At 33.4% G+C, this 16910-nt stretch overlaps 1 protein-coding gene across 2 annotated transcripts in view; it reads left to right on the top strand.

Annotated features, from left to right (window-relative positions):
- EYS (eyes shut homolog) overlaps positions 1-16910 on the top strand; it is a 1987247-nt gene that overhangs the window by 1624601 nt on the left and 345736 nt on the right. For both annotated transcript variants that reach the window (NM_001142800.2, NM_001292009.2), the window contains exons 32-33: positions 624-770; positions 16135-16288. In NM_001142800.2, the coding sequence (NP_001136272.1) occupies positions 624-770; positions 16135-16288 (301 nt within the window). The remainder of the gene's footprint in view (positions 1-623; positions 771-16134; positions 16289-16910) is intronic.

Here is a 16910-nt window from a genome sequence, read left to right as displayed (position 1 = left end):
ATTCCTCTGTGTGACAGTTCTCTAACCTTTGTGTGTCACAGAATTTTTTTCACTTTATTGACATATAATTACATCAAATAAAATTTATCAATTTTAAGTGTATATCTTGATGTTTGTAACCCAAAGGATAAATGCTTAAGGTGATGGATACTCCATTGACCCTGATGTGATTATGATACATTGTATTCCTGTATCAAAATATCTCATGAAACCCATAAATATATATACCTACAATGTAAACACAAAAATTAAAAATTAACAAACAATACAACCTTCACATCACAAAATATCGCAAAAGAATCTGGTGAAACACTGATTTCACAATGCAAGTACACAAATTTTTTTCAGACAATTTTAGAGTGTTTGTTATGTCTTAAAACCCATCCATAAACATCAAATTATAACTCTTATTCAGTCTTTTCCTCTGTACTGGTAGTGAATTATTTGAGGCAATAAATATAAATTTATTACACTTTATATCTAAAGTTCTTAAAATTGGACCTAACATTTTAAATACTAGTGTTACCTTTTCAAATGAATGCTAACTATAAATGCTAAGTTTTTATCTACTTGAGTAGCAATATAATGCTATCAGAACATATTAATACCATTTTCTTTTTTAGATGCAGGTTTATTCTTTCCATCTTTCAATGGGAATTCCTATTTAGAACTGCCCTTTTTGAAGTTTGTCCTGGAGAAGGAACATAACAGAACTGTTACCATCTACTTGACTATAAAAACAAACAGTTTAAATGGAACTATTCTTTACAGTGAGTATTAAATGTTTGACTTCTTGTATGTCATGTTTCTTTCTCAAACGTTGATCTATTGAATCAATGATTTATTCATTTAAATATTGTGAGAGAATTTTTCCAGACCAGTGCATGAAGCATTACCAAAGAGAAATTTTAGTTCTTTGTAGTTTCTCTAGAAGTTTCTTTATGAGTCATTCAATGGAACGTGACTTACAAACAGGATCTGAGCTGACAAGACAGAATTTAGCAAGCATATGAATTTGACAGCATATGGCTATAGCAGTAAAACAAATGCTGCAAATGTTTCAGAGCATACTTTTATGATATAAATCACTAAATATGAATTACATTCAATACTTGATAACTTGGGAAAAGGCATTCCAAAGCTGGGGTTCATTTGACAATCAAGTAAATTCCTACCACTCTTTTAGTAACATCTATTATCTTGATATAAGCTGGTTTTTTTTTAAGTAGTATTAACAGTATTTGCTTAAGGAAATGTCTTTACATCCAGAGTTCTCTGCATTATTATGCAATTTGCTCATAAAGGTCTCTATAAGCAGAATGTATGGGCTTCTTTCTTCTGTGAATGAACATCACTAAGGTGTATTACCAGCAGTATTCAAAATTTGACAATTGTTTTCTCTTTTGAAATAAATGCACAATCATTTTAACAATTCCTCATATTGGAGGTGTAATGTCTTTAGTACCTTAACAGATTATCCCTTGGACAGTATGGCCACTTTCTGCCATCCCCATAAAGTCACCAATGACTTTCTTCACAGAATTAGAAAAAACTACTTTAAAGTTCATATGGAACCAAAAAAGAGCCCACATTGTCAAGTCAATCCTAAGCCAAAAGAACAAAGCTGGAGGCATCACGCTACCTGACTTCAAACTATCCTACAAGGCTACAGTAACCAAAACAGCATGGTACTGGTACCAAAACAGAGATATAGACCAATGGAACAGAACACAGCCCTCAGAAATAATGCCGCATATCTACAACTATCTGATATTTGACAAATCTGAGAAAAACAAGCAATGGGGAAAGGATTCCCTATTTAATAAATGGTGCTGGGAAAACTGGCTAGCCATATGTAGAAAGCTGAAACTGGATCCCTTCCTTACACCTTATACAAAAATTAATTCAAGATGGATTAAAGACTTAAATGTTAGACCTAAAACCATAAAAACCCTAGAAGAAAACCTAGGCAATACCATTCAGGACATAGGCAGGGGCAAGGACTTCATGTCTAAAACACCAGAAGCAATGGCAACAAAAGCCAAAATTGACCAATGGGATGTAATTAAACTAAAGAGCTTCTGCACAGCAAAAGAAACTACCATCAGAGTGAACAGGCAACCTACAGAATGGGAGAAAATTTTTGCAATCTACTCATCTGACAAAGGGCTAATATCCAGAATCTACAAAGAACTCAAATTTACAAGAAAAAAAACAAACAACCCCATCAACAAGTGGGTGAAGGATATGAACAGACACTTCTCAAAAGAAGACATTTATGCAGCCAAAAGACACATGAAAAAATGCTCATCATCACTGGCCATCGGAGAAATGCAAATCAAAACCACAATGAGATACCATCTCACACCAGTTAGAATGGCAATCATTAAAAAGTCAGGAAACAACAGGTACTGGAGAGGATGTGGAGAATTTTTACACTGTTGGTGGGACTGTAAACTAGTTCAACCATTGAGGAAGACAGTGTGGTGATTCCTCAGGGATCTAGAACTAGAAATACCATTTGACCCAGCCATCCCATTACTGGGTAATACCCAAAGTATTATAAATCATGCTGCTATAAAGACACATGAACACGTATATTTATTGTGGCACTATTCACAATAGCAAAGACTTGGAACCAACCCAAATGTCCAACAATGATAGACTGGATTAAGAAAATGTGGCACATATAAACCATGGAACACTATGCAGCCATAAAAAATGATGAGTTCATGTCCTTTGTTGGGACATGGATGAAGCTGGAAACCATCCTTCTCAGCAAACTATGGCAAGGACAAAAAACCAAACATCGCATATTCTGATAGGTGGGAATTGAACAATGAGAACACTTGGACACAGGAAGGGGAACATCACACACAGGGGCCTGTTGTGGTATCAGGGGAGCGGGGAGCGATAGCATTAGGAGATATACCTAATGTAAATGACGAGTTAATAGGTGCAGCACACCAACATGGCACATGTATACATATGTAACAAACCTGCATGTTGTGCACATGTACCCTAGAACTTAAGGTATAATAAAATAATAAAAAAATAAAAAATAAAAAACAATTATCCCCTTTGGGGCAACTTATTATTTCCCAAACGATTTGCTCCTCTACTTTGAAACAGTTTGCTAAATTGATTCATCATTCTACACTTTCTAAACAAAATACATAAAAGATTTTATTATTTGACTACGAGTAAAATGCCTAAAAGAAGCATTTAGGAAAGCCAGGTGAAGTTAGTAGTTTTTAACATTAAATTAAAACAAAGAATTTATGTTATATTTTAGAAAGAAACCAACTTGCCAGGCTAGGCCAGTATCATTTATTCCCCAGGAGCAGAGGCACCCATGTTTAAATGATAGCTTTAGAGAGTGTCTGACTGATTTATGTTAAAAGAGAGAGAGAGAAGACAATACAAAAGAAAAACTTGTTTTTTATACAAAATCTAAGTGCTGGTAGATGACCATGAAATTTGGAAGTAATAGTACATTGCAGAGTAAACAAAAGAAAAACAGAACAAAAGACACAAACATAATAATCGAAAGACAAAGAAAAGTGATTTTCTAGCTTTGCAATTTTTTAAGTTATATAGAATTGGAAGGCATTTTCTTGGGGAAAATTTATTTCTACCAACTAAAAACAGCTCATAGTTAAAGCAGCACCCAACCACTGGGAATTATCCTGCTCTGGGTTCACGCTCCTGGCTCATGTCCATACCAACACTTGGATGTGTTATCTTTGAAGGCCAGAGAAATACATGCCAAGCATATATACACTCCATTAAAGTTCGTACTTTAATCTAAATCCAATAAAAGTCAAGCTGATGATAGTGCCATAGGATCATTTCTGCCTTCCTTATTCAATGACCTACAAAAACAATCAAACTAGAAATTATTGGTAAGAAAATAATCCCACTGTAACGATTATCCATTTCTGCCCTTGTCTTATATAATTGTTGTTATAGTACCGGACACATCAAAGCTGTTTACTCTAGAGAGTTTCAGAGCCCATGAAGGGAGAAAATATTTTTGTTTGTAAAGCATTCTTTCTGTTCATTTTTAAGGTGGTAATTTAATCCTACACTGTTGGGAATACCTCAGCAGAATGTTTCCTGGGTTGCTACTTTCTATCCTCTTAGAATCTGTCAACCTCATAAAAGCCTCACAACAGATGAGCACAAAGATTTTTGTAATTCAGTTAGATACTGGTAATTTAAAAGGTGTGTCCCTTAACTTAGGGGATAATTGCATTTACTTTGAAATCAGTATATTATGTGTAGGAGCAATTAAAACTAGTGAGAAAATTAAAACAGATGTTTCACTTCAAATATTAGGTGTTGATTTTGTTTGAGTTGCTTTGATTTTAATTTTGCCATTTTTTAATTCCTAAATATTTCAGTTCAACTCAATTCCATTTCACAAACATTTTTTGAACATTGTATTTTATATCAAATCAAATATTTAAGAGACAAGGATAGAGAACTATCAGGCTGATAAACCACTGTCAGCTTTGAATTATATTCCTGGTTCAAAACTGCACATTTATTTTGTCTCAGTTTGCCTCACCAACTAATTGATGTTGAAAAGGAACAAAAGGAAGATAAAACTTGAATCCTTACGGGGTTACGGTAAAAATCCTTAGAAAGGATAGCTTAAAAAAGAACACTCTGTGGGAGAGAGACAGCTCTGAGAGCAGCAGTCAAGATGAAAAGAAAGCTTTTTGAATCTGCCACTGAACCAATTCAGAATTCTGGAACCTAGTCAAAGGAGCTACTAATAGGTCACGAGAGAAGGGATGAGACCACACAAAATTCTTTAGGTGCACTTTCAGAAAATGAGCTCTATTACACAAGCAGTATCAATCAGGAGGCTTCGTCATGGGATATATTACCATGCAGTTGGATCCATTCTGTGCTGCTTCTTTGAAAAGAAATAAGCATGCCATGTGGAAGTATGTGATCTTTGAAAATTATGAGAAGACATCTGACCAAGTCCCAGGAGGCAAATTACATGAGCAACTCCAGTGGGAGGAGAGGATTCAGAAGCAATCTTTATATTACTTAATGTTTGTATTTAAAATAGGAAGCAAAAGAAGGACCAATCTTAGATAAGAGTAATTGACATGCTAGTGGAATTATTGGGGCCTCTTCATTTGCATTTATGGAAGACTAAAAGATTTCTGATACTCCTGGAGAAAACAAATGAAATCTAAAGAGTCATAACACCTGCCTTTCCCTATAAAATGATTTCCAGCAGAATATATAACATCTTCATTAGACACTTACCATATTTCATTTCAATGATGTGGCAAGGCCAATGAAGTCCCACAGCATTCCCTGGCATCATATTAGATAGCATCTTTTCTCTTCTAAGGAAAAAGATTGCTCAGTTGTTTTAATCAATTTTATTGTGTGTACCATAAAATTCTTTGAATATCTTCATCCCTCCTTAATGGGTCCCAATAGAGCTAGCTCAAGACAGATATAGGAAAGAGTAAGTTGCAAACATGGATGGCTGAATTAATGCATTGTCATTCATGAGAAACTTCTATTCATTGTATTTCATCTTTTTTATGACAGCAAAGACAAATTCAACAAATTCTGAGTGCCTAAAATGTGCATAGCTTTCTTTGGGCAATGTGAGGGATACAAAGTTGAATAAGTGATGGTCTATATATCCCTAGTTTCTCACCTTTTAGTAGATAGCTACATAATTCTTTGGGAAACCTGGTTGTGACATGTCTTAAATTAGAAGTATAAATTAAGAACTTGCACAGAGATTCATTTTACCAGGAGTCTGTGCTTACATCTCCTCACCAAATAGCAAACACCTCTGTATTAGCCTGTTTTTACACTACTAATAAAGACATACCCAAGACTGGGTAAATTATAAAGAAGAAGAGGTTTAATGGACTCACAGTTCCACGGGGCTGGGGAGGTCTCACAATCATGGCAGAAGGCAAAAGACACATCTTACTTGACAGCAGGCAAGAGAGAGAATGACAGCCAAGCAAAAGGGGAAACTCCTTATAAAACCATCAGATCTCATGAGACTTATACCCTACCACCAGAACAGTATGAGGGAAAATGCCCCCATGATTCAGTTATCTCCCACCGGGTCCCTCCCAAAACACATGGGAATTATGGGAGTTACAATTCAAGATCAAATTTGGGTAGGGACACAGCCAAACCATATTAACCTCTTAATCTGAAACTGTGTTTCGTAGTTCTCTATTCTCCCCACTCTCCTCAGAACCTCCTCTAGTGCCTTGCATAGCATAGGTACTTGGCTAGAATAGTTCTTAAGTTTTGTTTCTGAGTTATTCAACCTTGATAGTTGTGATAAAAAATAAGTAGGTATTGAATCTTTAGGAAATTATCCCATTGAACATTGTTATAATTTATTCCTCTGATAAATAGAAACAAACACAAATTTCAATGGTTTAGTCAAAATGTAGCTTGAAACAAAGATAATGTTTTCACGCATTTACTTAAAAAATCAGGAATATAGCAGGAGTTGGCAAGTTTTTCTATAACCCTCAGAAATAGATATTTGAAGTAGATATGTTTGCAAGCTGCACAAGTTCAACTCTGCCATAGTAGCCTGAAAGCAGCCATGGACAATATGTAAATGAATGAGTACGGCCATGTTTCAATTAAGATTTACAAAATCAGACAGTGTCAGAATTTGGTCCATGGGCCACATAGATTGCCAACCCTTGACCTAGAATTATGTGATTCATTAAACTTCGCCTAAAATAGAACAATTATATTCTACTTATACAATTGAAATTTATGAAGAAATAAGTCAATGAGAGATACATATAACCTGCATAAAACAGTGCTTGGCAAATGGCAGGCCTGAAATAAGTGACTTATTCAGATAATGCTTTAACTCCTTTCCTCTTGTACCTTGTCTAGGGAATTAAGGTCTTAAGATGCAAGATTTTTGTCTGAGAGGTGTTACGAATGTTATATCCATTTAACAGCCATGTTCATCCTAGCAACAAATAGACTAAAAATCGTGGCATCAAAAATGGGAGAGTAGGAAAACAGACAATTGGTGAAATTTGGAGTTTTCATTTTTATTCATTTCACCCAAATGAAGAAGACCCATTTCCTCTAAGAGTTGTGTATTACTAGTGTTTTTTACTGGTTAGGCACAATTAGCAGACTAGAAAAAATTAAAACAGGCTGTCTATAAATTTCAGAAATTGGCCTGAAGCCAATCTCCAATAGCATGTAATAAACATGGGTGTAATCATTAATTATGTACCAGGCTGCTGCCATGATCCTTCAGTTCTCCCCAGAGCTTCTCTGTCTGCCATCTTCCCACTGACAAACTAGCTTACCCTAACACTGGTTATTATCAGCCCATGTCATCATTGTTGCTGTAAGCTGTCTTAAAATCATGAGCAACTGCTGCTGAGGTTGCTACTGGAATTACTGCTGTATACAAATCCAGACCTTTAGGGGGAACCAGGAAAGAGGAATTCTAAAACTACAGAAGAAACATCTGTGTTCCAACAGAGATCTCAATGCAAGATAACCAAACAGTCTTTATCATATGTCATGAAGCAGCACCAGGATAAACAGATCATCTGACTGCTCCCACAGGTAGCCCTGATTGAAACGTCAGTAGATAACCAAGGATAGATTTGAACCCAAGTTAGTGTGAGCTATTGTACAATATAGGGTACATCTATTCATCTTTCTATGTCTTAGTTTGACTACAAGTGATGCAGGTATGTTTATATTATCAAACTTCACAAGGTTTGAAATGTATATCTATGTAAGTGTTTTGAAAAATACAAAACACCATAAAAATGTGAGGTATTTTTCTGTTAAGGTAGATGATAGAAATCCAGGTAACTTTATGGAAATTTCCAGATTTAATAATCTAGGTACCTGATTTAATAGTGCTTTATCTGCACTTATAACTATTAATTCTATAAGGAATGATGTTAGATTTTATTTAATTCAAACCGATAACCAATGAACCTCTTTTGAATATTTATAAATGATCTCAATTCAAATTGTTGATATTGGGAGCATTATTACAATAGCTCAATTAGAGAAGAATACCCATGTTTAATGGGAGTGGTACCATATAAACAATGAATATCTTCAATATTTCAATAAAGTGATAAAGTATCCATGTTTAGCAAATTCCAGATCTACAATTAAACTAATATCTAAGCAAACTAAAATTGTAAAATAGGTGACTAGAATATCATTGTTTCTCCATGTGATATTTATTTCATTATTTCTTTTTATAAGACTAATTATATATACATATATATTTTAATATATCAGATTCAAACTTCTTAGAATTATCTCTCTAAAAACTATGACATTTAGATACTGGAATCTATGTTTTGAGAGGAATACTATTATTCATTGTTCTAAGCAGCACTTTTATGCTTAACAAATCTTAAATTAGCAGACAATCATTTTATTAGGATAAACAAAATTTGAGAACTAGAGATTTTATAAAGTTTTGAAATGTAGTCTGGATAAAACATTCAGAAAAAAAATCAATAAATGATTCATTTTAAAACTTACTACAAAGCCTAAAAGCCTAAAGAACTATTACCGCATTACTTCTGCACCAACTTAATATTTCAAGAAAAGGATAGGTTCATACTTCTCTAATGGATCATCAAGCATCTTTTCAGTGAAAGAATAGAATGACTTTCTTTCAACGACTTAATGGTAAACTCTTCTAGAGCTTTCAAGTCCTGCCTGAAGGTAGCACAAATTAGAACATTATGGGGGAAATGTTCCAGACACTGCCTTTAACATTTGCCCTATATATATTTGCAAACATATATATATATATGCACACACACACACATATATATAAAGATTCACATTGCTTGATGTCTACATTCAACGAGCAATGTTGAACTAAATTTAATATGACATATGGATTACTCAATCCATAAGGTTTAATGTAAAAATACATACATTTATCTAAGAATAGTCATTACTTAGAATTTTCTTCAGTAGTTGTATTTTGAAAATTCAAGTTTCTTTCTCTTTTCCTAATTGCCACTAACTTTTCCCTTCTAAAATCAAATAATTTTTACCATAATTGTGTTTGAAAATTGTCTTTAATACTGTTTGGAAAAACCAGAGTTCCTCCTGAATGTGTTTATTCATAGCTTTTCTCTACTTATAGAATCCTAGGGTTACATGATACAAAGTCAATTGATTTGAGGGTGAAAAAAGTCAATCAAGTGATATGTCTTTTGTTCCCTAAGGTGATTAATTTGCTATAGAATCATGGAAACACATCAGTAGTGTCAGATCCTCTACTTTCCCACCTACCATCATATGTTATTTGCAAAACACTTTGACCTTTGTAAAAAATATTATATAAAACCACGAATTGTTGTTAATGGAATAAATCAATATGATAAATTAAAACCTGTTAATATATAGCAGACTGTGAAGAGAACTAAGCTTCATTGTTCATTTTTGTTCCCATTACCTTTATTAAAGCAGTCTTATTTTATACTGTACAATAAAGCAGCTACAGTCCATAATGGGATGTTGGTATACTTGAATAAGACTATTCATCTCTGTCATTGATGTTAGTGGCTGAGCTTCCTTTAAAAATAACTCATTCTTGCATAGTACTACATACATCTTGTTGAATGTGTATAGTCAATCTTTAAAATTCAGTTTTTGAAGTTTTGAAAAACAAACCTTGTACATATGGCACAACAGCTTGACCTAAATGCTCAGCTGTTCTGTTCTACCCTACACTATATATCCTATTTTTAAGACTTATCTCAAAAATATGAGTCTGAAATGGTAACATAAAGCAGTTTATGAAAAATATTAAGAAATAGAAAGCTTCTGAGTAGAAACGATAGAATGGAGCAGGATAACAGACTGTCCTTTAGTGCATTAACACCCTCCCCACGCACAAAATGATGGGAGTGGAGAACAAGTCAACAATTCAAGAAAGAAGAACCGCCTTATGCCATTTTATAATATAACCTTTTACAGATCCAAGGAGAAAAACACACAAGTGCTGGTGCAGTTTTGTGTTTCTAAATATGCTCCAACTCCCAACCACCACCTCACCTCCACTCCAGAAAAAAAGTCAAGAATACAAAAAAATTTTAATTATACTCTCAAATTCAGATAAAAGCAGCCTGATCAGCTGAATAGGAAGCCATGGGAAAAATAAGAAAAAAATACTAAAGAGTAGAAGCCGAAAAAAAAAACAACCTGCTAATGGATCTCAGAAGACGCAGAAAAGATAAAGTTGTATTGCCCTATGCCATGCAGTGGGCTAATTTGCTCATTGTACAGTTGAAGTCCTCAGAAGTGATAAACCCAGATGGGTTAAGTGGATCCTAAAATAGGACATTTAGAAGGATCTCAAATGAGTGATTTTCAACCATATGCCTTTTGTTATTCTAAATTATTAAATCTTTAATGCTGTTGTTTTATCTGTTTCCTTACTTCTGCAATATTGACTTAATCTATTTTTATTATTATGTATTACTTTGTGTTGCTCTCATACTGAATTTATATTCTCAATAAGTTCTATAGCTTGAAGCGCAGCACTAATGGGAAACGTACTTCTGTGCCTTGGATTTTTTATGTCCCCCCGGCTCTATATGTTTCTTCAACCATGTTTTGAATTCTTCCTTCCTTCCCCAACTTGGTCATCCTCAGTGTGGGCATCTTTGTCCAGTGCGAGAGTAAAATGTTCCCTAGTATCAGGGACCCCATTTGCACTGTTTTTATGCAAATTTTCCTCAGAGTTGGTTTTGGTTTTATTTGTTTGGATATGATACAAATCATTCCTCCTTATATGTGTTGTAACATCAAAAACTAGAATTAGCTGATTTTTCTTTGTTAAAGAATAATTTTTAAAAGGGTATATAAAAACACATGTCATTTAGCATCAGGAGGTATCCCTAATTAGGAGATATACCTAATTAGGAGATATACCTAATGCTAAATGACATGTGTTTTTATATACCCTTTTAAAAATTATTCTTTAAGATTTAGCTGATTTTTCTTTGTTAAAGTATAATAGTAATAAAAAAATGTCAAAGATTTTATTTACTTATTAATTTATGTAGTAACTGGTGAGATATTATAACAAGTTCAAGAAACAATTCAAGGGGCACAAACATGTATAAAGAATAAGGAATTCTGAAGTAAATTTACAAGTAGATAAAAAAATAGTCTCCCCATGGGGTAATAATTTCATTTCATCAGAAAATTAACATGCATTAGTATAGTCAGGAATCATGTGAATTATTATTAGTTTTCTGCAACTTACAGTATTGGGAAATAGCTCAGAGACAAAGAAAGGTTCAGAGAACCTGGATGAGTAAGCTAAATATTAAATTATTTTCTCATTTCAAAGCCTTTCATAATTTTTCCAGACACCTTTCTCTGAACCATTCTTTGAGCCCTGACTGTTGCTTTTAATCCACTCGTCTAGAACCTGAGGTAGGGGGAACAGATAACCCAGGTTTCTACATAGTCTTGCTGAATTGTTAAAGAAACACTTAATTAATGTTGAGCAATAAGTCTAGTTTCATTCTGGTTTCTGGTTTTTCCTTTTAAGTGGAGGTAAGCTCTCACACAGGGATACTCCGAGTGTATCCATAGACTCCTGAGGGATCCACAGGAGTTTCAAGTGTCCAGAAGGTCAAAATCACTGTGTTGACATTTTCGCTCATGGTGTAAAAGTCATAATGAATAAAATTATTAACACCTTAATATTAAGGCAGCAGCACCAAATCGTACTAGCGGTCATTGTATTCTTTTCCACTGTCCACTCAAAACAAAAATGGACACTTAAAAAAATGTCCTTAGAGATGCAATAAAATTCAATAATCTTATTAAATCTCAACACTTGGGTATACAAGTTTTAATATTCTGTAACATTGGAAGTACACATTAAGAAAGTTGACTACATATTAAAGTATAATAGTTGCCTTGAGACAAGTTGCCAGTTTAACTAGACACTATGAAAACTACTGAAAAAATGACTAGCAGATAATGTATGGTTATTCAGACATGACTATTTGGCAGCTATTTTCTGAAAAAGTAATAAAGTAAGCCTGTTACCTCAAGGAAAACAGCTAATAGTATTTTTTGCCGATAAAACTCAAGCTGTCTAAGAAAAATTAGAATTTTGGAAAAATCTACATTCCCCATAACAAACTTGAGAGCTTTCTAACATTTTCTGATTATCTCAGTGGTAATATTAATGAATTTGATATCTTATTATACAATAAATGTGTCATATCTGAAAACTCTGCATAACTCTGAACCAATATTTTTCAAATGATCAATTAGTGATGTTATAAAATTATGACTGAGTAAAACATCCATTCAAAGTGCAAGAAAGACCAATAACATTTTAATGTAACAAGGACGTGAAGTTCATTAATACACTTTTAGATTCCACACTGCAACTAAACTTTAACGAACTGCCATTTGTCCAGTTTGTATGTATTTGAAAAAGTTATGAAAATGTTCCTCCTCTTCCCATAACATTTTGTGTGAGGCTGAACTTCCTATACTTTGGCCAAAGAAACAATTCACAACAGATTGAACACAGAAGTAGATATAATAATCCAGCTGTCTCCTATTAAGTTTCAAAATAAAGATATTTGTAAAAGTATAGAATAATTCTCTTGCTGTTTCTTATTTGAAAAAAATATAATTACTTTTCACAAAATATGTTATTTAGGTTAACATGTAATGATATTTTTAAATTAACATTTGAAAATTTTCATGGTTTTAAATGGTAATTCAGTAAATCAAAAGATGCGAAACATGTAAACAAAAGCTCTTTAGAGTTCTCACTGGATTTTAAGTGTCTTAAGGGGTCCTTAGATCAAAGAGTTTGAGAACCACTCATTTCATATAATTTTCTTTTTTAAATACTTTATAGTGTGATCCTGCTCTTATTTTAAGAAATTCTACCTATCTATCCATATATCAATCTTTGTATCTACAGATGTTCACTGAATATTAATGCTGGCCATTTCTGAAGGTTGTAATTTTGGAGAGATTTAAGACACTTTTATTTGTCCATTTTTCTATTGCTTGAGTACAAAAACAATGTCATTATCATAAAATACATATACTGATATATGTATATCACATGTGTATATATACTGATATGTATATACATACATATACTGATAAAAACAATAGAAGAAAAGTAGGGAATGGAAAAACTCAAAAATAGTAAAATATATATATATTCCACAAATAAATATCTGAAAATTCAATATTTACATCATAAGAATTATTTACTTTGATGATTTTGGATCAATTAGAAATCAAAATGGAAAATGAAAAAATGATCCCTGCATTATTTTGTATTGCTGCTATACCAAGTTACCATTAAAACAATAGAAATTTATTCTTTTACAGTTCTGGAGGTCAGAAGTCTGAAATGAGTCTTATGGGGCTAAAGTCAAGCTGTCAGCAGGACTGGTTCCCTCTGGAAGCTTCAGAGAATCCATTCCTTGCCTCTTCCAGCTTCTGGTGGCTGTCAGCATTCTGTAGCTTGTGGCTGCATCACTCCAGTCTCTGTTTCTGTAGTCACATGGCCTTCTCCTCATCTGCCATCAAGTCTCCCTCTTCCTCCCTTTTACAAAGACACTTGTGTCTATGTTTAAGGCCCACCGAGATAATATAGGATAATCTCTCCATTTCAAGCTCCTTAATTCAATCACATCTGCAAAGTCTCTTTGGCAATATCAAATAACACTCACCAGTTCCACCAATTAGTACATGGGTGTCTTTGAGTGTCATAATTCAGCTTATCACAACTCCACAGTACTTACACAGAAAAATTAATTCTAGGTAGAGTGTAGAACTTAAGTAAAGCTTACAGAAGGTAATGTAGAATAAATTCATGACTTTGGGGAAGGCAAATAATTCTTTTTATATATATATATTTATTATACTTTAAATTCTAGGGTACATGTGCACAAACTGCAGGTTTGTTACACATGTTTACATGTGCGATGGTGTGCTGCACCCATTAACTCGTCATTTACATTAGGTATATCTCCTAATGCTATCCCTCCCCCGTCCCCCCACCCCACAACATTTAAACATGACATGAAAGGACTAATCATAACTCTGAAGGAAACAATACATAAATTGATTTACACTAAAATTAAGAATTTACATTCATCAAAACTCACCCTTGAGATTGGCAAGTCAATATACAGAACTGAAGAAGATATTTACAATCCATGTAGTTGGCAAAGAGCTTGTATTCAATAAGAAAAAAGAAACAACTAAATATAAATATGAGCAAGAAACACAAAGTGACATTTCACAACAGAGTATATCAAAACAGTCAGTAAACATGAGAATATGTTCAACTTCACCAATATCAAGAAAGTAAAATTAAAGCTATAATAAACAGAATAGGTAAAATCTACAAAGTGACCATACCAAATGATAAGGCTATGGATCAGCTGGAACTCTTGTATGCTGCTGGTAAAGTGTTAAATATAAACAATTATTTTGGAAAACTGGCAATAGCTACTAAAGTTAATCATATTTATACTTTCTGACAGAGCTATTCAACTCCTAGATATATATACAACAGAAATGTATGCAATTTAACTGAAAGACATATATAAAATGCTCATAGCAGCATTTTTCACAGTAACGAAAGCCTAGGGGGAAAATGTCTATCTACACTAGAAACAGTAATTAAATTTTAAATATTAACTTAATGGATTATTACAAAACAATGATAATGAATTAACTGTGGCATAATCTATCTCTCAAACATAACATTGAGCCAAAACAAATGCAGTAGTCCCTCATTATTTGCAAGGGATACATTCCAAGATCCACCTGAAACTGTGGATAGTACTGAACCCTATCAGTATTATGATTTTTTCCTGTACATCATGCCAATGATAAAGTTTAATTTGTAAATTAGTAAAAGTAGGACATTAACACCAACACATAATAAAATAGAATGATTATAACTATATCCTGTAATAAAAATTATGTGAATATGGTCTCTCAAGATATTTTATTGTACTGTAATTACCTGTTTTGGGACTGTCATAAAGGGAAGACTACAGTAGACTTAAAGAATCCATACAATATGATTCCACTAATAGGAAGATTAAAATCAAGTAAAACTAACTATAGCTGTTAAACATCAAGATAGTGGTTACTTTTGATGAAGAGCAGAAAAGAATAGTGATTGGTAGGACTTCTGACAATGCAGATGATGGTCCTTTCCTTAATTTGGGTGATGTTTAGGTGAGCGGGTTCACTTTGTGATTACTTACTGAGCTTTATGCTTATAATTTCTGTGATTTTCTGTACAAGTTATACTTCAATTAGGAAAGTTAAAAAGAGAGATCCATGGGCTTCCAGGGACAGATGTCCAAATTTTAAGCAAAAAGAGAAAGATGAATGAAGCCATTTATGAATTTATGAATAAAGTATGATCTCATTTTTAAAAATAAAATTGGGATATGTAAATATTTGTATGTGGGGAGATAGGTGGTAGAAAAGAACATTTCAAAGTGGGGATGAAGAATGAGATTGGGGAAAAGAAATATTTATCTCTTTTCTCTATATATTTCTCTATTATTTTGATAGAAGATGCATATTCCTTTGTAATTAAAATACAAATAAACATAAGAAATTAGAAATCAAAAATAAAATTTAAACATTAGATTCAATAATAATACAAGTTATTAAAAACTCAACATGGCACTTTTCATTTATTATTTTATTTAATTATCACAGGAGTTCTAATACTCACAGTAGTTACTCTCACTACCCCATTTTAACATATGGGGAAACAGGTTTAAAATAGTTAAGGACATCTAGCTACTAGGTAACAGAATCAAAAGTTAAAATTCATGTCAAGTTAATGCTGTTAATACCATGCTATCCTCAGCCTGTGGACAATAATGTACGTTTCTAATATGGTACTTATTACACTGAATAATTATCTAATAGCACTCCTACCAACCCCCTAAATCATTAGTCTTTGATGGCAAAGATTGTGTTTAATTATTGTTAACCAATAAAATATAAATCTACAATAATTACTAATATATTCTTTTTTTCTTAAAGGTAATGGGAATAATTGTGGAAAGCAGTTTCTTCATTTATTTCTTGTGGAAGGAAGGCCATCAGTTAAATATGGGTGTGGAAATTCTCAAAATATTTTGACTGTTTCTGCTAATTACAGCATTAACACAAATGCATTCACCCCTATCACAATACGGTAAGTACTGTACTCCACGGTAGTTCTTTCGTGCTGAAATTTTGTTTGTTCGTTTGTTTTGAGATGGAGTCTTGCTCTGTCACCCAGTCTGGAGCGCAGTGGTGTGATCTCAGCTCACTACAACCTCCGCCTCCCGGGTTCAAGCGATTCTCCTGCCTCAACCTCCCCAAGTAGTTGGGACTACAGATGTGCACCACCACGCCTGGCTAGTTTTTTGTTGTTGTTGTTTGTTTGTTTTAGTAGAGATGGGGTTTCACCATGCCGGCCAGGCTGGTCTCAAACTCCTGACCTCATGATTCATCCTCCTAGGCCTACCAAAGTCTTGGGATTACGGGCATGAGCCACCATGCCCGGCCTGAACTCTATTTTTTAAATGTTATTTACGTGTGTAACAGCCACCCAAAAGTGAAAAGAATTTTAAAAGTCCATCTGAAAATTGTTTTGTTTACTTTTTTATTTTTGCTTTTGTTTTACTTATTTTTATAATTTGGTGGAATGAACTACAAATTGAACTAAGCTATAATTTAATACTATCCTATGGGAATCAAATTGCACACAGAGTAAATCAATTTTATTTGAAAATATTATGGTGCAAGCAAATAAATTAAAGCATCAAGTTGTT

The sequence above is a fragment of the Homo sapiens genome, chromosome 6, assembly GCF_000001405.40.
Source record: "Homo sapiens chromosome 6, GRCh38.p14 Primary Assembly".
NCBI classification, from domain to species: domain Eukaryota; kingdom Metazoa; phylum Chordata; class Mammalia; order Primates; family Hominidae; genus Homo; species Homo sapiens.
The sequence above is the reverse complement of the archived record's forward strand: the minus strand, read 5'-3'. Positions and strand labels throughout refer to the sequence as shown.